This window comes from Homo sapiens, chromosome 19 (genome assembly GCF_000001405.40).
Source record: "Homo sapiens chromosome 19, GRCh38.p14 Primary Assembly".
NCBI classification, from domain to species: domain Eukaryota; kingdom Metazoa; phylum Chordata; class Mammalia; order Primates; family Hominidae; genus Homo; species Homo sapiens.
Genome location: NC_000019.10, coordinates 12,751,236 through 12,772,538, shown reverse-complemented (window position 1 = coordinate 12,772,538; position 21,303 = coordinate 12,751,236). Strand labels below are relative to the sequence as shown.

The 21,303-nt window shown below is 55.6% G+C and overlaps 2 protein-coding genes across 10 annotated transcripts in view, besides 6 other annotated features; one reads left to right on the top strand and one right to left on the bottom strand.

The window, feature by feature from the left end:
- HOOK2 (hook microtubule tethering protein 2) overlaps window positions 1-9,536 on the top strand; it is a 29,348-nt gene extending 19,812 nt beyond the window's left edge. For 8 of the 9 annotated variants that reach the window (NM_001400043.1, NM_001400044.1, NM_001400045.1 and 5 more), the window contains exons 7-22: window positions 287-349; window positions 1,062-1,142; window positions 1,220-1,380; window positions 1,467-1,607; window positions 2,457-2,658; window positions 4,416-4,526; window positions 4,636-4,723; window positions 5,075-5,144; window positions 6,299-6,436; window positions 6,525-6,612; window positions 6,815-6,849; window positions 7,458-7,540; window positions 7,622-7,725; window positions 8,761-8,871; window positions 8,940-9,011; window positions 9,108-9,536. In NM_001400043.1, the coding sequence (NP_001386972.1) occupies window positions 287-349; window positions 1,062-1,142; window positions 1,220-1,380; window positions 1,467-1,607; window positions 2,457-2,658; window positions 4,416-4,526; window positions 4,636-4,723; window positions 5,075-5,144; window positions 6,299-6,436; window positions 6,525-6,612; window positions 6,815-6,849; window positions 7,458-7,540; window positions 7,622-7,725; window positions 8,761-8,871; window positions 8,940-9,011; window positions 9,108-9,257 (1,698 nt within the window). In that variant the 3' untranslated portion in view covers window positions 9,258-9,536. Of the gene's footprint in view, window positions 1-286; window positions 350-1,061; window positions 1,143-1,219; window positions 1,381-1,466; window positions 1,608-2,456; window positions 2,659-4,415; window positions 4,527-4,635; window positions 4,724-5,074; window positions 5,145-6,298; window positions 6,437-6,524; window positions 6,613-6,704; window positions 6,711-6,814; window positions 6,850-7,457; window positions 7,541-7,621; window positions 7,726-8,760; window positions 8,872-8,939; window positions 9,012-9,107 lie in introns of all 9 variants that reach the window. The other variant, NM_013312.3, reaches the window with a different exon arrangement.
- Window positions 596-1,096: an enhancer, noted in NCBI's record as "H3K4me1 hESC enhancer chr19:12882257-12882757 (GRCh37/hg19 assembly coordinates)". NCBI's record gives its function as "activates a minimal SCP1, AML or CMV promoter by ChIP-STARR-seq in primed H9 embryonic stem cells {active_cell/tissue: H9 hESC(primed)}" and the evidence as "EXISTENCE:reporter gene assay evidence [ECO:0000049][PMID:30033119]".
- Window positions 1,097-1,597: an enhancer, noted in NCBI's record as "H3K4me1 hESC enhancer chr19:12881756-12882256 (GRCh37/hg19 assembly coordinates)". NCBI's record gives its function as "activates a minimal SCP1, AML or CMV promoter by ChIP-STARR-seq in naive and primed H9 embryonic stem cells {active_cell/tissue: H9 hESC(naive and primed)}" and the evidence as "EXISTENCE:reporter gene assay evidence [ECO:0000049][PMID:30033119]".
- Window positions 2,556-2,785: a silencer, noted in NCBI's record as "silent region_10167". NCBI's record gives its function as "represses an Ori minimal core promoter by ATAC-STARR-seq in GM12878 lymphoblastoid cells {active_cell/tissue: GM12878}" and the evidence as "EXISTENCE:reporter gene assay evidence [ECO:0000049][PMID:35858748]".
- Window positions 6,465-7,010: an enhancer, noted in NCBI's record as "H3K4me1 hESC enhancer chr19:12876343-12876888 (GRCh37/hg19 assembly coordinates)". NCBI's record gives its function as "activates a minimal SCP1, AML or CMV promoter by ChIP-STARR-seq in naive H9 embryonic stem cells {active_cell/tissue: H9 hESC(naive)}" and the evidence as "EXISTENCE:reporter gene assay evidence [ECO:0000049][PMID:30033119]".
- A 4,544-nt stretch (window positions 9,537-14,080) lies between the features above and the next one.
- Window positions 14,081-20,748, bottom strand: BEST2 (bestrophin 2). Its single transcript, NM_017682.3, has 10 exons — window positions 20,700-20,748; window positions 19,795-19,997; window positions 19,185-19,279; window positions 17,754-17,987; window positions 17,508-17,662; window positions 17,083-17,160; window positions 16,772-16,924; window positions 16,604-16,684; window positions 16,244-16,398; window positions 14,081-14,888 (listed from the first exon to the last, which is right to left on the bottom strand). Exons 2-10 carry the CDS (start codon window positions 19,944-19,946, stop codon window positions 14,462-14,464), a joined length of 1,530 nt encoding a protein of 509 aa, NP_060152.2. The 5' UTR covers window positions 19,947-19,997; window positions 20,700-20,748; the 3' UTR covers window positions 14,081-14,461.
- Window positions 14,490-14,889: a silencer, noted in NCBI's record as "silent region_10166". NCBI's record gives its function as "represses an Ori minimal core promoter by ATAC-STARR-seq in GM12878 lymphoblastoid cells {active_cell/tissue: GM12878}" and the evidence as "EXISTENCE:reporter gene assay evidence [ECO:0000049][PMID:35858748]".
- Window positions 14,970-15,029: a silencer, noted in NCBI's record as "silent region_10165". NCBI's record gives its function as "represses an Ori minimal core promoter by ATAC-STARR-seq in GM12878 lymphoblastoid cells {active_cell/tissue: GM12878}" and the evidence as "EXISTENCE:reporter gene assay evidence [ECO:0000049][PMID:35858748]".
- Window positions 20,749-21,303: the final 555 nt, after the last annotated feature.

Sequence of the window (21,303 nt, the reverse complement as noted above, 5' to 3'; positions counted from 1 at the left end):
ACAGGTCCTGCCCTGGTAAGGTCTGGACTCTGCCTGGAACTCAGCTGGCCAGACATCTCTGTCTCATGTGTCTGCCAGCTCCTCCCAGCTCTAAGTCGCAATCTAGCAGGCTCAAGGGATCTGGCTTCCCTCTGTGTTGGAGGCAGGAGGGCAGCCTCTGGGCTGGGGTTATTGGGCAGAACTGGCCTTGACGGGAGGATGGAGAGGTTCTCAGGTTGGATAGTAGATACTTTGAAGGCTGGCCTCAGATATCCAGTTCATTACAATGCCCCTTCCCACTCCTCAGCTCATGACCAAAGACACTCCTGACTCCCTGTCACCAGAGACGTATGGCAACTTTGACAGCCAGGTAAGAGATTTGGGGGAAAGGTGTTCCAGGCACAGGGATCAGCAAATCCAAAGGCCGGGAGTTGGGGATAAGTTTGCTGTGATTAACCTTGTGACTTAACCTTGTTAAAGGTCCAGACCCCACTTACAGATGCTCAGGGTAGCCTAAGGGGGAGGGGCTTGTCCTTAAGCCTGTAAGCCACGCCCATCTTCCAGGGTGCTAGCCACTTCCTGTACCAGGTCTCCAGTGTTCTGGAATCGCTCTTCCTTCAGTCTCCAACCCCAGCCCTGTTTTCTTTTCTTTTCTTTTTCTTTTTTTTTTTTTTTTTTGAGATGGAGTCTCACTCTGTCACCCAGGCTGGAGTGCAGTGGCACGATCTCGGCTCACTGCAACCTCCGCCTCCCGGGTTCAAGCGATTCTCCTGCCTCAGCCTCCCGAGTAGCCAGGACTACAGGCACACGCCACCACACCCGGCTAATTTTTGTGTTTTTAGTAGAGAAGGGGTTCGCCACGTTGGGCAGGCTGGTCTGGAACTCCTGATCTCAGGTAACCCACCCGCCTCAGCCTCCCAAAGTGCTGGGATTATAGGCGCGAGCCACTGCACCCGGCGCCAGCCCTCTTTTCAATCCTGAGGGTTTCTTGGCCCCCTCCATTTGGCCTCTAGAGATCTCAGCCTCCCTCCCCCCGTCCTTCTCCTGAATCCCTGAGTTCCTCTTCCCCCTCATCTCTGCAGTCCCGCAGGTACTATTTCCTAAGTGAGGAGGCTGAGGAGGGGGACGAATTACAGCAGCGCTGTCTGGATCTGGAGCGGCAGGTAGGGCCCTAGGTGGGGCAGGGTCACTTGAGTAGCCCCTCTCCAAGCCCAAGCTCATCTTTCTGCCCTGCCCGCAGCTGATGCTCCTGTCAGAGGAGAAGCAGAGCCTGGCGCAAGAGAATGCAGGGCTGCGGGAGCGGATGGGCCGGCCTGAAGGCGAGGGTACCCCAGGTCTCACTGCCAAGAAGCTGCTGCTGCTGCAATCCCAGCTGGAGCAGTTGCAGGAGGAGAACTTCAGGTGTGGTCAGCTGGGGACTGGGCCAGGCAAGCCAGGGGACCGGGGGAGGGCAGCCCCCTCATGTGCTCTTCCCCCAACACCCCCAGGCTGGAGAGTGGCAGGGAGGATGAGCGCCTGCGCTGTGCCGAGCTGGAGAGGGAGGTTGCGGAGCTGCAGCACCGGAACCAGGCGCTGACTAGCCTGGCCCAGGAGGCACAGGCCCTGAAGGATGAGATGGATGAACTACGGTGAGTGGTGGGTTCCTGGGTCCCCATCACGGGGGGCGGGGGGTAAACCTGTTTCCAGAGTTCCCCTCTGATGCCATAGCAGCTCTGTAATTTTCATGTGCCCAGTGAACCCCCAATATGCCCCCTGGACTCCACAGTGCCACCCTGAGCCCTACAGAACGCCCAAGGCCACATTGCACTATCCTGAATTCCACCATATCCCCTGGACCCCACACTGCCCCCCCCTTATCCCACAGTATGCTTCCAAGACCCCATAGCATCCCTGTGGCCCCCCAAAACACAAGAACCTCCCCTACAATGCTCTGCAGATCCCACTGCACAGTTTGGGCTTCATAATGCCCCTGGATCCCATGGTACCTTCTAGGACTCCACAATGCAATTACTTTGCACCCCCTTTTGACTCTACTGTGCCTTCTGTAACCACAAAGGGCTCCACTGGGCCCCTATAGCATCTCTGTAATGCGAAGGTACTAGTGCACCCCCCAATTGCACTTCTAAGGACCCCGCAGTCCTCTTGTCCCATACCTCCCCCAATGACTCCAAGGTATCCTTGGCAGATGCTCAGACCTCTCTAGGCTCCCCATCACTCCCCCTATAACCCCACCCTCTGTGTCCCCACAATTCCACCCCAGGGGATACCTGATTATAACCCTGGGCTAACCATTGCTGTAATGACTCTCAACAGCTCCAGGCCCTGATTGACCCCTAACCCTCAACTTTCATGACCCCTTCACCTTGAACCCAAAAGCCTCAGGCTGAACAACACCCTGTGCTCCAAGGGCCACTCCACATCCCAGCTGACCCCTGATCAGAGCTCTCAGCCCTCCCCCTTCCCTCCCACTCCCCTAGGCAGTCTTCGGAGCGTGCTGGGCAGCTGGAGGCCACGCTGACCAGTTGCCGGCGCCGCTTGGGCGAGCTGAGGGAGCTGCGGCGGCAGGTGCGGCAGCTGGAGGAACGCAACGCCGGCCACGCCGAGCGCACGCGACAACTGGAGGATGAGCTACGCCGAGCGGGCTCCCTGCGCGCCCAGCTGGAGGCGCAGCGGCGGCAGGTGCGGCGGGGGCGGGGTTAGGGCCGGGGCCCCGCCCCTGGCAGCAAGTCTCTCACCGTTGGCCAGCCCTCCGCCCACCCCTGATCCCCTCCCTTATTTGTACGTAGGCCACGCTCTCCGGGCCTCTTCCCTCCACCCACGCTGCTCTTCTGTCTGGGTTAGTAAGCCCAGCCTTTCCCTTCCCTTAAGTACCGCTCCTCTAAATTCTTTGATGCCCGCCGCTTCACCATGCTGCTTGATTTCCTTGGGGCTACCTAACCATGTAACAAAACTCGTGGTAAATTGAAAATATCCTAAAATGCATAAAGGCCAGGCCTGGTATCCCAGCGCTTTGGGAGGCTGAGCCGGGAGGATCACTTGAGCCCAGGATTTCGAGGTTGTAGTGAGCTGTGGCTGCATCACTGCATTCCAGCCTGGGTGACAGGGTGAGACCCTGACTCAAACAAAAGAAAAAGACCGGGTGCGGTGGCTCGCGCCTGTAATCCCAGCACTTTGGGAGGCCAAGGCGGGCACCCCATAACTCCTTCTGTAACCCCACATCACTTGAGGCCAGGAGTTTGAGACCATCCTGGCCAACATAGCAAAACCCTGTCTCTACTTAAAAATAGAAAAATTAGTCTGGGCGTGGTGGCTCACTCCTGTAATCCCAGCACTTTGGGAGGCCGAGGCGGGTGGATCCCGAGGTCAGGAGATCGAGACCATCCTGGCTAACACGGTGAAACCCCATCTCTACTAAAAATACAAAAAATTAGCCGGGCGTGGTGGTGGGCGCCTGTAGTCCCAGCTACTCGGGAGGCTGAGGCAGGAGAATGGTGTGAACCCGGGAGGCGGAGCTTGCAGTGAGCCGAGATCGTGCTACTGCACTCCAGGCTGGGCGACAGAGCAAGACTCCGTCTCGAAAAAAAAAAAAAAAAAAATTAGCCGGGCTGGTGGCGCGCGCCTGTAATCCCAGCTACCCAGAAAGCTGAAGCACGAGAATAGCTTGAACCTGGGAGGTGGAAGTTGCAGTAAGCCAAGATCGCATCACTGCACTCCAGCCTGGTTGAGAGAGGGAGACTGTCTCAAAAGAAAAAAGTAAAAGATATTAAAAAAAGAAAAAGAAAAAGAGAGCTGGGCGTGGTGACTCATGCCTATAATCCCAGCACTTTGAGAGGTTGAGATGGGAGATCGCTTGAGGCCAGCAGTTCGAGAACACCCTGGTCAAGATAGCGAGATTCCATCTGTTTTCAAAAAATAAAAATTTTTAAATTTTTTTTAAAAAAGAAAATCCATTGAACATACTTTACCTACTGAGCATCACAGCCTAGCCTAGCCTACCTTAAACATGCTCAGAAAACTTACCTTAGCCTAGTTTGGCAAAATCATCTACCATAAAGCCTATTTTATAATAAAGCGTTGACTATATAACGCAATTTATTGAAGACTAATTCATTGCAATTGAAAAACAGAATGGTTGTATGGGTTCCTACTATTAACATTCACAGTCGGCTGGGTGCAACGGCTCACACCTGTAATCCCAGTGCTTTGGGAGGCTGAAGTGGGAGGACTGCTTGAGGCCAGGAGTTTGAGATCAGCCAGGGCAACAGAGGGAGACCCTGTCTCTAAAAAAAACAAGCAAAAACATACACAGCTGAAAGCACCATAGTAAAGTCAAAAAAATAATAAGTCAAAGCATCCTGGATCGGGGACCATTTGTACTCAGCCCCTGCCCCTGCTCCCAGCCCTGCTGTCCTTATTCCTCCCCTCTCTGTGTTCAGGTGCAGGAACTGCAGGGCCAGCGGCAGGAGGAGGCCATGAAGGCCGAGAAATGGCTATTTGAATGCCGCAACCTGGAGGAAAAGTATGAGTCGGTGACAAAGGAGAAGGAGGTGAGGCTGAGGTTCCACTGCCCAAGCCCCACCCTGCCAATTCTGGGGTAGCCCATTTCCCAGGAGGCCGAGCCTGACCCGTGGAGTGTCTTGTACCCTGTCCCTGCAGCGGCTGTTGGCGGAGCGGGACTCCTTGCGGGAGGCCAATGAGGAGCTGCGCTGCGCCCAGCTGCAGCCGCGGGGGTTGACCCAGGCCGGTGAGATGAAGCCCCATCCCGGGGTCTTACCTGTCCTGGTGTACTGTTTGGGTAGAACAGGTTGTGTCCCAGTGCATGTCTAGGTTGGGGACAGAGCTAGGCCAGGCTGGAGGTGACCAGAAAGAGGTGACACGGTCAAATTGAAGAGAGAGGCTCAGGGTCTCAGGGTGGAGCAAAGGCTAAAAAGCTTGGCCAACCCTCCCGGTTCTCTATCAAGCCGGGGATGGAGCTTGTGTCAAGCCAGACTGTTGGCTGAACTTGAAGCCCCAAAAGATGATCCTTGGGAAGAAGACCCTAGGGGCGGGGACAGGGGATGCGAAGAGACCTGAAGACTTTTCTCGCATTCTTCAGATCCCTCACTGGATCCCACCTCCACACCCGTGGATAACTTAGCCGCAGAGATCCTGCCTGCGGAGCTCAGGTATCCTGGGGTCACTCAAAACTCTGGCCCCACCCAGGCTTGCCAAGGCCCGCCCTCAGCCCCGCTCCCGCCCTCCCATCTTCTGCTAGCCCCGGTTGCTTGGTCTCAGCTCCAGGTGCCAGCCGGGCTCCTAGGCCCACTTACTCCTGATTTGGCTCTGTCCAGCCCTACCAGATGACTTTGCCTCTCAAGGGTCTATCCTTAGTACACAAATTATGTCCAACACCTGGCTCCAGTTCCTGCACAAAAATCCTATGCCCTAGCCCCGCTGACTTTGATCCTTTCCCCCAGCGTCCACCCCTGTTAGTGTAACCTCTGTGAGTTTCAGTCCCCTGTGCCCTGCCGGGATTAACTCTCCCACCCCGGGCCAGGCACGGTGGATCATGCCTCTAAGTCCCAGCACTTTGGAAGGCCGAAGCTGGAGGATCACTTGAGCCCAGGAGTTTGAGAGCAGCTTGGGCAACATAGTGGCCCTCTCTACAAAATAAAAATGATTTAAAAACCCGAAAAACGACCGGGCGCGGTGGCTCACGCCTGTAATCCCAGCACTTCGGGAGGCCAAGGCGAGCGGATCACAAGGTCAGGAGATCGAGACCATCCTGGCTAACACGGTGAAACCCCGTCTCTACTAAAAATACAAAAAATTAGCCGGGTGTGGTGGCACGCACCTGTAGTCCCAGCTACTCGGGAGGTTGGGGCAGGAGAATCGCTTGAACCTGGGAGGCAGAGGTTGCAGTGAGCCGAGATCGCGCCACTGTATTCCAGCCTGGGCGACAGAGCGAGACTCCATCTCAAACAAACAAAAAGCCAAAACTAACCAAACAAACAAACAAAAAAACCCCGAAAAACTGTCCCATCCTAGTTCTTCCCATTTCTGCTTCCCGCTTTCCAGCAGTCCCATCCCAGCTGTTCGAATCCACTCTTGTAGCTCCGCCCCTGCCTAGCCCCACCCACTATCCCAGCTTAGAGCTCCGTCCACTTTAACCCTGGGCCGGGAACCTGAACCCGTAGTAGGTCCTCGGTGCTCCAACCCCATGGTCTGGCTGGGCTCTTCCCCAGGGCTCTGTCCCGCCCCTAGCTCCACTCTCCCTGAGCCCCAGCGAGCCTGCGAGGTGACTCGACCCTGGCCCTGCTCTCTCCTCCCGGGTCTGCAGGGAGACGCTCCTGCGGCTTCAGCTGGAGAACAAGCGGCTGTGCAGGCAGGAGGCGGCCGACCGGGAGCGGCAGGAGGAGCTGCAGCGCCACCTGGAGGATGCCAACCGCGCGCGCCACGGGTTGGAGACGCAGCACCGGTGAGCGCCTGGGGACCTACCTGCGCGGAGCAGGGACAGAGGGGGCCAAAAGTGGGCACAGGCACTAAGCGGCCCCCCACCCTCGCAGGCTGAACCAGCAGCAGCTATCCGAGCTGCGGGCCCAGGTGGAGGACCTGCAGAAAGCCCTGCAGGAGCAGGGGGGCAAGACTGAAGATGTGAGTGTCACCCACCACCTCCCAGCCTGGCCCTCCCTTGTGCCCCGAAGTAACCCTCCTCTCTCTCCCATGCTGCCCGATGCCCCATACAGGCCATTGTAAGTACCATGGGCCCAGGATGGCACCCCCTACCCTCACCCTGGGAAGGAAGAATTAGGGCCTCTCTGGATCCCCCACTCACCTTGCCTCTTCTCTCTCCCAGTCCATTTTGCTGAAAAGGAAGCTGGAGGAACATTTGTAAGTCGCAGAAAGAGGGAACTCCTCGTGGGGGCATGGATTTGATATTAGTGGGGAGTTTCTTAGGCATGTGCCACCATGCCTGGCTGATTTTTTATATTTTTAGTAGAGACGGGGTTTCACTATGTTGGCCAGGCTGGTCTCGGACTCCTGACCCCAGATGATCCACCCGCTTTGGCCTCCCAAAGTGCTGGGATTACAGGCATGAGCCACCGCGCCTGGCCTGCTTTCTTTTCTTTTACCTGTCTGCTATTGAAGAGATTTGTATTCTAGAAAGATCCCTGGCTGCTGGATGGAGTGCTTGAGAGTAGAAGAAGCTAGCAAGGGAAGATGGTGGCTGAACCAGCTTGGGAGCTGTGGGATGGGAAGAAGTGGACAGCAGGGGCTGTTCCGGGGCATACCTGCTAAGGGTGCGGAGGGTTGTGGCTCTGACAGCTGTGGAGCCGGTGGGACCAGGGCACACAGCCCCAGGCATGAGGGGCAGGCAGAGAGGGCTCTGTGGCCATGTAGGGGCATTTCTGGCTGGCGGGGAGGTCTGTGGCTACCACTGGGACAAAAGAGAAGCCAGCCCGGAGGTCAGCCCACTGCTGCTCATCCCCGGCCCACAGGCAGAAGCTTCATGAGGCAGATCTGGAGTTGCAGAGGAAGCGGGAGTACATTGAGGAGCTGGAGCCACCCACTGACAGCAGCAGTAAGTAGGACCTAGTGACCAGAGGGTGGGGAGATCCCAGAGCCCAGCAGCGTGGAGCTGATGGGCCACCTCTTCCGCCAGCAGCCCGGCGGATCGAGGAGCTGCAGCATAACTTGCAGAAGAAGGACGCGGACTTGCGGGCCATGGAGGAGCGATACCGCCGCTACGTGGACAAGGCCCGCATGGTGAGGACGCTGGGTGTTCCCACAAGTTGCCTGCCCTGGCTTCTTACTTTTTGTGCCTCCTATTGAGTCAAACCTCCTGCTTGCACATCTGTGCCCCCAACTCATACCTGTCATACCCCACCATAAGACAGACTTCTGCATGATTCCCCACTGCTACTGATTGTCACATTAAAATACTGCACAGCTGGCTGGGTGCCGTGGCTCATGGCTGTAATCCCAGCACTTTGGGAGGTCAAGGCAGGCGGAACATGAGGTCAGGAGTTTGAGACCAGCCTGGCCAACATGGTGAAACCCCATCTCTACTAAAAATACAAAAATTAGCTGGGCATGGTGGTGGGTGCCTGTAATCCCAGCTACTCAGGAGGCTGAGGCAGGAAAATCATTTGAACCCGGGAGGCGGAGGTTGCAGTTAGCTGAGATTGTGCCACTGCGCTCCAGCCTAGGCGACAGGGCAAGAGTCCATCTCAAAAAAAAAAAAAAAAAAAAAAAAAATTACGCACAGCCAGGCGCAGTGGCTCACGCCGCTAATCCCAGCACTTTGGGAGGCTGAAGCAGCTGATCCCTTGAGGTCAGGAGTTCGAGAGCAGCCTGGCCAACATGGCGAAACCCCGTCTCTACGAAAAATAGAAAAATTAGGCGGGATTGGTAACATGCGCCTGTAATCCCAGCTACTCGGGAGGCTGAGGCAGGAGAATCACTTGAACCCGGGAGGCAAAAGTTGCAGTGAGCTGAGAGTGCGCCACTTCACTCCAGGCTGGGCAACAGAGCCAGACTCCATCACAAAAATAAAAATAAAAATAAAGTAAAAATAAAGTACTGGCTGGATGGGCACAATGGCTCATGCTTGTAACCTCAACACTTTGGGAGGCTAAGGCAGGAGAATTGCTTGATGCCAGGAGTTCAAGACCATCCTGGGCAACATAGGGGGACTCTGTCTCTATAATGAATGAAAGAATGAATGAATACACACACCCCAGTATGTCCCAGGGGGTTTCAAGGCCAAAGTCACCTGGCTATGACTTCCTCAACCTGTAGGTCATGCAGACCATGGAACCCAAGCAGCGGCCAGCTGCGGGGGCACCTCCAGAACTCCATTCCCTGAGGACACAGCTCCGAGAACGGGATGTCCGCATCCGACACCTGGAGGTGGGTGTCCTCGTCCCTTTACGCTGCCTCCAACGTATCTAGGCCCCTGACACTTGCCTCCTTGACAGATGGACTTTGAGAAAAGCCGAAGTCAGCGGGAGCAGGAAGAAAAGCTGCTCATCAGTGCCTGGTATAATATGGTAAGTGTGGGGTCTGGGCTCTAAGATCTCATGGGTAGAATATTGGTGGGGGGGTCCTGTGAGCTCACCTGACCCCAACCACACCTCCTCCTGAAGGGCATGGCCTTGCAGCAGCGAGCTGGGGAGGAGCGGGCGCCTGCCCATGCCCAGTCATTCCTGGCACAGCAGCGGCTGGCAACCAATTCTCGCCGTGGACCCTTGGGACGCCTGGCATCTCTGAACCTTCGCCCCACTGACAAGCACTGACAGACCTCACAATCAAGCCAGCCTGGGCTCCACCCACCCTGGCTTCCTCCAGCTCACATGGCGCCCAGCACTGGGCTTCAGCCAGGTGCTCGAGAGCTTTGAGGCCATGATCTCTGCTCTTCCCTCTCCCAGATTGGTGGGGAGGGAGGGCGGGAGGTAGATATAGGCCTGTTCTTTTTAGCAATGTGATTCTTGTTGTTGATTCTCTCTCTGGAGTTCATGTGCTGCCTCAGGAGACTCTGATTTTATATTTGAGAAAAATAAAGGCGTTCAATCTGCCCTGGCTGTGCTCTGGGCACCAAGGTGAGGGAGAGAAAGTGGGCCAGAGGCTTAGCCCATTGCTTTTAAGAAAAGCTTAGCGGCCAGGTACGGTGGCTCACGCCTGTAACCCCAGCACTTTGGGAGGCTGAGGCGGGTGGATCACCTGAGGTCAGGAGTTTGAGACCAGCCTGGCCAACATGGCAAAACCCCTCCTCTACTAAAAATACAAAAATTAGCAGGGCATGGTGGTACATGCCTGTAATCCCAGCTACTCGGGAGGCTGAGGTGGGAGAATCGCTTGAACCTGGGAAACAGAGGTTGTAGTGAGCTGAGATCATGCCATTGCACTCCAGCCTGGACAACAGAGCAAGACTCCATCTCAAAAAGAAAAAGAAAGAAAAGCTTGGCTTGCATTCTTACTAAAATGTGAGTGACCAATAGCACCAACCAGAGGTAGGTGAGGATCACGTTTGTGTGTCTGTGAATGTGTGGTGGTTTTGTTTTTTGGTTGTTGTTGCTTTTTTTTTTTTTTTTTTTTGAGATGGAGTCTCACTCTGTCGCCCAGGCTGGAGTGCAGTGGCACGATCTTGGCTCACTGCAGCCTCTGCCTCCTGGGTTCAAGGGATTTTCCTGCTTCAGCCTCCTGAGTAGCTGGGACCACCTGCGCATGCCACCACGACTGGCTAATTTTTGCATTGTTAGTAGAGACGGGGTTTCACCATGTTGGCCAGGGTGTTCTTGAACTCCTGACCTCAGATGATCCGCCCACCTCAGCCTCCTAAAGTGCTGGGGTTACAGGAGTGAGCCACCACGCCTGGCCACTAAGCTTTTCTTAAAAGCAGTGGGCTAAACCCTGGCCCACTTTATCTCCCTCACCTTGGTGCCCAGAGTTACCAGAGTGAGCCACCACTGTGGAACAATCATAGCTTGCTGCAGCCTGGGCAACAAGAGTGAGACCCCATCGAAAAAAAAAAAGAATAAAAAGGCCCAGAAAGGAGGCCTCACCAAGGAAGTGACATTATTGAAGCAGATACCTGAAGGAGGTGAGGGAGAGGCCATGTAAGTACCTGGGGAAGATCCAGGCAGAACAGTTTGCACAAAGGCCCTGAGATGACACCTCGCTTGGTGTGCTGGAGGGACAGTAAGGGGACCAGAGTGGCTGGAGTGGAGTGAATAAGAAAGCAGAAGGCCGGGCGTGGTGGCTCACGCTCATGCCTGTAATCCCAGCACTTTAGGAGGCTGAGGCTGGCGGATCACAAGGTCAGGAGATTGAGACCATCCTGGCTAACATGGTGAAACCCTGTCTCTACTAAAAATACAAAAAAATTAGCCGGGCGTGGTGGCAGGTGCCTGTAGTCCCAGCTACTCGGGAGGCTGAGGCAGGAGAATGAACCCGGGAGGCGGAGGTTGCAGCGAGCCGAGATTGTGTCACTGCACTCCAGCCTGGGCGATAGAGCAAGACTCCATCTCAAAAAATAAAAGGAAAGCAGAAGGCCGGGTGCAGTGGCTCACGCCTGTAATCACAGCAGTTTGGGAGGCAGAGGCAGGCAGATCACGAGGTCAGGAGATCGAGACCATCCTGGCTAACACGGTGAAACCCGTCACTACTAAAAATACAAAAAAATGCGGCCGGGCACAGTGGCTCACGCCTGTAATCACAGCACTTTGGGAGGCTGAGACGGGCGGATCACGTGAGGTCAGAAGTTTGAGACCAGCCTGACCAACATGGAGAAACGCCGTCTCTACTAAAAAAAAAATACAAAATTAGCCGGATGTGGTGGCATACGCCTGTAATCCCAGTCACTCTGGAGGCTGAGGCACAAGAATCGCATGAATCTGGGAGGCGGAGGTTGTGGTGAGCTGAGATCATGCCATTGCACTCCAGCCTGGGCAACAAGAGCAAAACTCCGTCTCAAAAAAATAATAATAATAAATAAAAATAAAAATACAAAAAAATTAGCCAGGCGTGGTGGCGGGTGCCTGTGGTCCCAGCTACTCGGGAGGCTGAGGCAGGAGAATGGCGTGAACCCGGGAGGCGGAGCTTGCTTGCAGTGAGCCGAGATGGCTCCACTGGCACTCCAGCCTGGGCGATACAGCGAGACTCTGTCTCAAAAAAAAAGAAAAAGAAAAAGAAAGCAGATGAGGGTGGGGAGATTATTCAGGGACTTGTGGGCTGCAGAGAATACTTTAACTTTTATTCTAAGTGCTGTGGGAGCCACGGAAGAGTCTAAGCAAAGGAGGGATGTGACCTGGCTCGGGTGTTCATAGGCGCCCTCTGGTGGCCACTCTGGGAGAAACAGGCTTAGGAGGCCAGGGCCAGAGCTTGAAGACCTGGTTGGTAGTCCAGGTGGGTGGGTGGGTGATAGTGAGGGCTCTGGCCAGGCTGGGGTCCTGGAGGAGTGAGAAATGGTTGGATTCTAGATACGATTTAAAGGCAAAGCTGGCAGGGCACGGTGGCTCACGCCTGTGATCCCAGCACTTTGGCTGGCCAACATGGTGAAACCCTGTCTCTACTAAAAATACAAAAATTAGCTGGGTGTAGTGGGCGCCTGTAATCCAAGCTACCTGGGAGGCTGAGGCAGGAGAATCACTTGAACCCGGGAGGCGAAGGTTGCAGTGAGCCAAGATCATGCCATTGCAATCCAGCCTGGTGACAAGAGTTAAATTCCGTCTCAAAAATAAAATAAAAATAAAGGCAAATCTCGGCCGGGCGCGGTGGCTCACGCCTGTAATCCCAGCACTTTGGGAGGCTGAGGCGGGCGGATCACCTGAGGTCAGGAGTTCGAGACCAGCCCCAACATGGAGAAACCCCGTCTCTACTAAAAATACAAAATTAGCCGGGCGTAGTGGTGCATGCCTGTAATCTCAGCTACTCGGGAGGCTGAGGCAGGAGAATTGCTTGAACCTGGGAGGTGGAGGTTGCAGTGAGCCGAGATCGCGCCATTGCGCTCCAGCCTGGGCAACAAGAGCGAAACTCCGTCTCAAAAACAAATAAATAAATAAAATAAAAATAAAGGCAAAGCTGATAAGATTTGCTGCTGGGTTGGTGTGGCCACTGGGTTGATGTGATGGCCTGTGGCGGGAATAGGAATCCACATGACTTCTTTTGGCCTTATCACCTGGAAGGACAAAGCTAACACACAGGGTGGGGCAGATTGGGGGGCTGATTAGGAGCTGGATTTCAAGTGTGTTATGTTTGAAGTGTCTGTGACATCTCTGCAAGGAGGCATCCAAGAGGCAGTTGGCTTTCTGGGTCTACAGTTAGAGAAGGGATCCTGGCTGGATTTCTTTTTCTTCCTTTTTCTTTTTCAGATGGGGTCTCACTCTGTTGCCACCCAGGCTTGAGTGCAGTGGCACAATCTCACTGCAACCTCCATCTCTCAGGTTCAAGCGATTCTCCTGCTTCAACCTCTGAGTAGCTGAGATTATAGGTGCCCACCACCTCGCCTGGCTAATTTTTGTATTTTTAGTAGAGACGGGCTTTCACCATGTTGGCCAGGCCTGTCTCCAGCTCCTGACCTCAAATGATCCACCCATCTCCACCTCCCAGCTGGGATTACAGGTGTGAGCCCCACTGCAGCACCAGGCCTCTTTTTTTTTTTTTTTTTGAGACAGGGTCTCACTGTGTTGCCCAGGCTGGAGTGCAGTGGCATGACCAGAGCTCACTGCCTTGGCTGGACTTTTATATTCAGGAGTCATCAGGAGTCCGTGTGATATTAAATTAGTAAAACCTGAAGCCCTGAGGGCCTGAGAATGCAGAGGCTTGAGGCAAGAAGAACCCATGATCCTGGGACAGTGGCTGGCTCATTAATGAGTAATGCCAGGGCACTGATGTGGGTGTTTCAGACAGCAGAGTTTGGGAAGAATTAAGCAGGGCACCATCATAAAACCTGGAAGAGGTGAAACCCCGTCTCTACTAAAAATACAAAAAATTAGCCAGGTGTGGTGGTGCGCACCTGTAATTCCAGTTACTTGGGGGACTGAGGCACAAGAATCCCTTGAACCAGGGAGGTGGAGGTTGCAGTGACCCAAGATCGTGGCACTGCACTCCAGCCTGGGTGATGAAGTGAGACTCTGTCTCAAAGGAAAAAAAAAAACCTAGAATAAGCTGGGCCTGGTGGTTGTGGTGGAGGAGGAGGAAGACGAGAAGGAGGAGAAGGAAGAAGAAGAAAGAAGAAACCTGCAGCAGGGCTTGGTGGCTCACGCCTGTAATCCCAGCACTCTGGGGGGCAGAGGTGGGTGGATCACCTGAAGTCAAGAGTTCGAAACCAGCCTGGCCAACATGGTGAAACCCCCCTCTCTACTAAAAATTAAAAAAAGTTAGCTGGGTGTGGTGGTGCGTGCCTGTAATCCCAGATACTTGGGAGGCTAAGGCAGGAGAATTGCTTGGGCCTGGGAGGCAGAGGTTGCAGTGAGCAGAAATCACACCATTGCACTCCAGGCTGGGCAACAGAGAGAGACTCCGTCTCAAAAAAAAAAAAAAAAAAAAGAACCTGCAAGAACTCCCAAATTTTACTTAGGACAATGGATAATGTCTGGCAGGAGAAATCAGACTAACAACGTTTGAGTAAAAATCACTAGCAATTTATTGAGCACCTACTGTATACCAAATGCTTTAATGCCATTCTTTCATCCTCATGACAACTCGAGGAGGTAGTCAGTCACATCTTCACTTGAAGGAAAGAATTCAGGCAGGACACTGATAGAGACCTCTCAGGCAGTGGGGGTTGGGAAGTAGAGCTGGTGGTCAGGGCGGGCTGGTCCAAGAGTCTGGAAGAACTCCCGCCCCTAGCACAGCGCCAAACACATGCGGGCAGCGAGAGCTGGTCAAAAGTGTAGGTGGACTTTACAAAGGCACACGAGGCTTATGCAGACCGGGACACCTGCGTGGGTGCCGTGCAGGGACCTGGTTCCCTGTCCTTAGGGGGCTGGGCTCTAAGATCTCAGGCCAGATTCTCCTCCTCCTCGCCAATAGGGCTGGGCAGCCAGGGTGGCGCCGGACCCCGGGGCCCGGGCATGGTCACGATGCTGAAGGGCTCGACAGGCCCAGGGATGAGGGTAAGCGGTTCGGGACCCGCAGGGGGCGGGGCCTCGGGCTCCGGCAGGCCGGGGTCGAGCAGCGGGTCCCCGCAGCTGCACTCCGGGGCCGCGCCTTCGGGGACAACCGCGCATGAGCAGCTGGCCCCAGTAGACGCCTCCGACACGCAGCTGTTCTTGCGGAGTAGAAAGGACAGGCGCCGGCCCAGCGGGCCTCCCGCGACCATGCCCGCGCCCGCCGGCAGGAGGCGCTGCAGGAAGTCGCCGGGCGCCTCTCCCATCGGTCCATCCAAGCCGTCCAGCCGCTGGAACTGCATGTCTTCTTTGGCCAGCCTGCGGGACCGACAGTGGGCCAGCGCTGCGGCCTCGCCTCTTGTTGACAGAGCAGGGTCCCAGGCGCGCTGATTTCCCTGACTCCACCCACCGCTTTGTCCCACTTATCCCCAAAGATCTTAGCTCCTAAACCCAGAGCCTGGCCTCACCCTGTGTTTGCACTTCAACTTGGATCTTCAACCTCAGTCGTGGCTCAGCCCCATTTCCTTTTTTATTTTTATTTTATTTTATTTTATTTTGAGACGGAGTCTCGCTCTGTTGCCCAGGCTGGAGTACAGTGGCGCAATCTCGGCTCACCACAACCTTCGCCTCCCGGGTTCAAGCGATTCTCCTGTCTCAGCCTCCTGAGTACCTGCGACTACAGGTGCGTGCCACCACACCGGCTAATTTTTGTATTTTTAGTAGAGATGGGGTTTCACCATGTTGGCCAGGCTAGTCTCTAACCCCTGACCTCGTGATCTGCCCACCTTGGCGTGAGCCACCGCACCCGGCCTATTTTTATGTTTTGAAATGCAGTTTTACTCTTGTGGCCCAGGCTGGAGTGCAATGGCGCAATCTCGGCTCACTGCAACCTCTGCCTCCCAGGTTCAAGTGATTCTCCTGCCTCAGCCTCCCGATTAGCTGGGATTACAGGCGTGAGCCACCAAGCCCGGCTAATTTTGTATTTTTAGTAGAGACAGGGTTTCACTATGTTGGCCAGGCTGGTCTCGAACTCCTGACCTCAAGTGATCCACCTGCCTTGGCCTCCCAAAGTGCTGGGATTACAGGCATAAGCCACTGCGCCTGGCCTTTATTTTCATTTTTTGAGACAGGCTCTTGCTCTGTTGCCCAGGCTGGAGTGCAGTGGTGTCATTATGGCTCACTGCAGCCTCGAACTCCTCGACTCAAGCAATCCTCCCACCTCAGCCCCTGAATAGCTGGGACTACAGGCGTGCACCACCACGCTTGGCTAATTTTTTATTTTTAGTAGAGACGGGGGTCTCACTATGTTGCCCAGGCTGGTCTGAACTCCTGGGCTTGCTCAAAGGATCCTCCTGCCTCAGCCTCCCAAAGTACTGGGATTACAGGCGTGAGCCAGTGCTCCTGGCCTCAGCCCTCATCTCCTTTGGAATCACCACTGACCGGTCTGATCCTCGCTGACCTCAGCCCTTAGCTCTGTCCCCAGTCAGTGGCCCAGTCTCAGACCTTGACCTTGTCCCCTGACTCCTATCTTAGCTTCTGGCGTTATCACAGTCCTGAGACTTTAGCTCTTATCCCCATCTCCAGAATTGATTCCACTTAACCTTTTCAATCAGATGTGCCCCGCAGAGCCATAAGCCCTGCCCCAGGCGGCCCTGCCCACCCAACTGGCTCACGTGATGTCAAAGGTGGAGCCCTGGAAGGAAGGCTGCCGCAGCTGGAAGACAGTAGCCGCTGTGTATGGGGCGCGAGCCTCGGCTGCATCCCAGTACAAGTCCTTCTCCAGCACAGCCAGGTCATCATACATCTCGTCCACTGCCAGCATGGACACCTACGGGTGCAAACACACAGGGTAAAGTGGGGGCAGGGCAACCCGCCGGGACCACAGGGTGGACCCCTTCGGGTGGGTGGGGACCACAGAGGGAAGGATGGTTGGGGTGAGACCTGGCAAGACTTGGCAGGGGTGGGACCAGAACCCTGTTGGGCACTCCGGGATGGTCGCCACCTGGAAGTCTCACCTGGAAACTGAGTCTCACCTGGAAGTTTCTATCGATCAGAAAGTTGGTCTCAAAGTCATCATCGTCCTCTCCGAAGGGGTTGATGAGCTGCTCAGCTACCTGAGAGGAGAGGGAGCAGTTAGGTGGAAACTTGGGAACCCCATGCCCGCCCCACCCACGAAATTCCAGCCTGGATCACCCACCTACCTTGAGCCAGCCGGCGTAGAAGAAGAACTGCAAGAGGGTGAAGATGGGCACACACAGGTCTAGGTCGTGGTCTTTGTAACCCTGAGCCGGGTCCAGGAACTGGCGACCAATGAGGCAAGCCAGGAAGTAGCTGTACAGTGCGATGGTCACCACCTGGGCAGGGCGGGGCAGGGCTCAGGGGGGTCATTGGGGTCCAAGGCTAGGATTAGGCATCATTATGATGGGGGTCTTAGCTAGTTCTTGGTTTCCCCTTGGAAACCAGGCATCAGGGCCACTGACACCGAATATAAAAAGAGGCATGATGGGGTTACCTGCGTGTACACGAGGGGTACGCTAATCCAGTCATAGTGAAAGAGCATTCCACATTTGCCCCGAAAAACATTCAGCTCCTGGGGGTGGATACAGGTCATGAGGAGGCCTGAATGGTGAGCTCACACAGGGATATTAAGTGTAGGTACGTGGGATGGAGGTGGGTGGTCACCTGGTGGGAATTGGGAGTGTGCTTTGGGGGTTCCAGGGAGGGTATTTGGTGGTGAGTGTGCACCTGGATGAGGTACCATGCACCCAGGAGCTGCCCCTCAAGGGCATTGGAATCAGCCCCATGGAGGTAAGAGTGCACCTGGTGAGGGTGTTTGAAATCGGCCTCGTGGGGGTGCTTGGAGGGCCGCCGTTGACACAGCTCCAGGGGTACAATTTCCCTGGTATTCTATATGAATGACCTCCTGGTTGGGCCCACCTCGAGCAGCAGCTTAAGGGCGCTGTTGTCGCGGATGCGGCCCTCGCGTCGGGCCTGTGCCGCCAGGTTGGAGAACCAGACGCAGGGCACCCAGTACTTGTTGTAGGATGAGTTCAGGTTTTCAAACTTCTTGCGCTCCTCGCGGGTCATAAACCCTGGAGGAAAGGGGTCAGGGATAGCTCGCCCCTTGCCCCCCTCCACCTGGTCCTTGCCCGGTCTCTGCCCTGCCTCTGGCCGAGTACTCACCAGCCTCCACCACGTGGTCTATGGTGGGGAAGCGCTTGAACACCGCGGTGCTGACGGAGCGCAGGATGAGCACGGCCGAGAGCCCTGCGTAGCGCATGAGTGTGCGCCGGTAGAGGCGGCCGCGGTCGTCGCGTCCGTGCACGGTGCCCGCCACCACGCACATGAGCGCGTCGGGCAGCGGCATGCATAGGTACTGGCTCCACCAGCGGTTCACCACCAGCGTCACATAAAAGCCTGCAGGGGAGCGGGGAATGGGGGCTCAGTGGGGACACCAGGGCCAGGGGTTTGGGGGCCCAGGTTGTGGGAGAGGGGGCAACGTAAGGTCTGCATCAGGGAAACCCGAGCGTGCTGGCCAACCTGACCACGTTTGGGCTGGGAACTTGGGGGTCCAGCCCTGAGGTCAGAAAGGACAGTTGCCGGGCGCGGTGGCTCACGCCTGTAATCCCAGCTCCTTGGGAGGCTGAGGAGGGTGGATCATGAGGTCAGGAGTTTGAGACCAGCCTGACCAGCATGGTGAAACTCCGTCTCTACTAAAAATACAAAAATTAGCCGGGCATGGTGGCGCACCTGTAGTCTCAGCTATTCAGGAGGCTGAGGCAGAAGAATCACTTGAACCCGGGAGGCGGAGGTTGCAGTGAGCTGAGATCGCACCATTGCACTCCAGCTTGGGCAACAGAGCGAGACTCCATCTCAAAAAAAAAAAAAAAAAAAAAAAAAAAAAAAGGCAGAGCAGCCCTTTGGGTCACTGGCTACTTGGGAGTCACCTCAGATGTGACATTGGGATCCCAGTATGGGGATAGAGGCACAGAGCCCATGTTAGGGGCACGTGGGCAGACTGTTGCTTGCTGTGAAGGCATAGGGACCTAAAACAAGGGGAGAGGGGCCTGGTTTGTGGGGGTGTACATCAGAGACATCTGGTCAGGCTTGTCACAGTAGCCACACCCGGCCCCTGAGCCAGGAACTTCTGAAGGGGTTGGGGACAGGGTCTACATCAGGGAGCCTTGGGCAGGCTAGGGTCACTTGTGGTCACTAGGGGTCCAAGACTTGTCAGAGAAATGCCCCCAGGCTGGAATTGAGAGGATGGAGTCCTATGGGGTCCCTGGAGGGTTAGGGGTTTGTCCCCCCTAATAACACAACAGACACTGGTGAGAATCCCCAGGGTGACCAGGAATAAGTCCTGTGTGTGAGATGGAGCTCTCCTGGGGGCACCTCAGGGGGCACTGTGACCCCAGGTGACACCCCAGGTCTCAGAGTGTAGAGCCACATCTGGCATCTTCATGATATGGATCCAAAAATGGGTGGGCAGTGCTGTCGGGGTTGGATTTGAGGGGGGGGATCTCAGAGGGGCAGGAATGGGGGCTCCTCAAAAGGCATGAATGGATATGGGTTTCTCAGGGACATGGGAACGGGGGACTTGGGGTTGGACCGCACCAAGCACGAAGGAGACAGGGATGAGGCTGGCATACTGGTCACAATAAATCACAAGCTTCTCGAAGTAGCGCTTCTGCCCTTCGGTCAGCACAAAGCTGCGGGATAGAGATGAGGGGTCACAGGTCACAAGGGTGACTCCATCCCCAGCTTCAGATCTCTCTTGCTGTGCCCCTCACCCTGGCTTCTTTTATAATAGCTGCCCCCAGCCGGGTGCTATGGGTCACACCTGTAATCCCAGCACTTTGGGAGGCCGAGGCAGGAGGATCACTTGAGGTCAGAAGTTTGAGACCAGCCTGGTCAACACGGTGAAACCCCATCTCTACTAAAAATACAAAAAAATTAGCCAGGCATGGTGGCTGGCACCCATAATCCCAGCTACTCGGGAGGCTGAGGCAGGAGAATCGCTTGAACCCGGGAGGCAGAGGTGGAAGTAAGAGAAGATTATGCCACTGCACTCCAGCCTGGGTGACAGAGTGAGACTCCATCTCAGTTTAAAAAACATAGATATATATACTTATATATCTCTATATTTTTATAATTTTTATATATTATATATATATAATAGCTGCCCCCCCTCCGCTAGAACATGAGCACCTCAGGGCAGCCTCACCGGTAGGCAGCACTCAGCGCCATGTAGAACCCAAGGAAGCAGAGCAGCTCTCGCCACAGGAGTTTGTAGATGCTCCCACGCCACAGTAGCAGCAGCTGGGAGAAGCCACCGAAGCGGGCGTTCGCCACTCGGGCTGTGTAGGTGACGGTCATCGTGGCACCCGGCAGGTGTGGCCAAGGGAGAGTGGGTGGCCCGGGTGGGGGCTGCGGGTGTGGGTGGAGAGGTGCGGGGATAACTGAGCACAGGGATTCCACCCATGTTCCGGCCCGCCACCCCTTCAGTCCTGACCCTTGCCTGAGTTGCCTTCTCCTCCCAGCTTTACTCAGTCTAGTCCAGCCCCCAGTGCCCCTCCCTGACCTTCATCTCAGGCTGTCCCCTTCCCTGGACTCCTGGCCGTGGGCTCTGGTAACTGCCGTCCCCCACCACCAAGACCCTTGAGTCCCTGCAGTCAGCTCCCGAGTCACCCTCTGCCCGATCCCCTTCACCCAGAGGCCACCTGTAGCATGCCCCATTCCGCAAGTCCCCAGCACCTGAGTTTCTAGGTTCTCAAGGCTCCACCTCTCCCAAATTCTCTCCCTCAGCCCCTATTTCTGGCTCCCCCTTCTCCACTTCCCCAGCTCCCAGTCTTGACCCATTCTGCTCCCTGCACTCCCTCTGAAGCCCTGTCCCTAAGCCTCCAGGTCCCCTAGCCCCCCTGCCCCAGCCTGTGCACCTTCTGCTTAATTGCCCTGGCTCCCCCCACTCCCTTTTCCTCCCGGATCCGCCTTGACCTTTCCTCTCTCCGTTCCCCTCCAGCCTTCCAAGCCCTCCACTCCCCGCCCCGGGAGGACTCCGGATGCATTCCTGCCCGCAGGTTCCCTCTTCCCTCAGGGCCCCCTATTTCCCCAAGCCTGGGCTCATCTCACCTGTGTTGAAGGTGGCCGGTGCAAGGACCCACAGGGACAGGGATGGAATGGGCGGGTGGCTTTGGCGTTGGGTGGGGCTGGGGAGTGGGCGTGCCTCCCTTTCCTGGTCCTCCTCCCTCGGCTAGGCTGTAGCTTCAGAATTTTGTTTGGAGTCCCACAAGTTTGTTACCTGGTACGGGGGGAGAAATCCGCCTTGTCCTCCCTCGCCCCTCCCTGTTCCCCTCCCAGTCGCTCACTGGCAGGTCCTAGGGATCTGGAACCCAGAGGTTGGGGGAGGAGGCAGGGATGGTCTTTTTCCCAGTCCCAGAAACACACACACTGCTCAGTGAGGCTGGGTCACTTCACAGTCACCTGTAATCACACAGTGTCACAGAGATGCACGCAGAAACACACATCATAGTCCCAGAAGCAAATCTAGCTGCTCTTAAGACAGCCTCAGCCAGGCACGATGGCTCACACTTGTAATTTTAGCACTTTGGGAGGCTTAGGTGGGAGGATCACTTGAGCCAGGAGTTCGAGACCAGCCTGGGCAACATAGGGAGATCCCCATCTCTATTGAAAAAACAAAAAGACAGCCTCACATAACTATGGTTACCCAGAGGAG

Excerpts from the sequence above, each read along its gene's own strand:
- BEST2 (NM_017682.3), bottom strand. The coding sequence starts at position 19,946 with ATGACCGTCACCTACACAGCCCGAGTGGCGAACGCCCGCTTCGGTGGC. Across the intron at positions 19,280-19,794 it reads GCGCTGAGTGCTGCCTACCG|CTTTGTGCTGACCGAAGGGC; the intron begins GTGAGGCTGCCC and ends TCTATCCCGCAG. Across the intron at positions 16,399-16,603 it reads TGATCGATAGAAACTTCCAG|GTGTCCATGCTGGCAGTGGA; the intron begins GTGAGACTCAGT and ends TTGCACCCGTAG.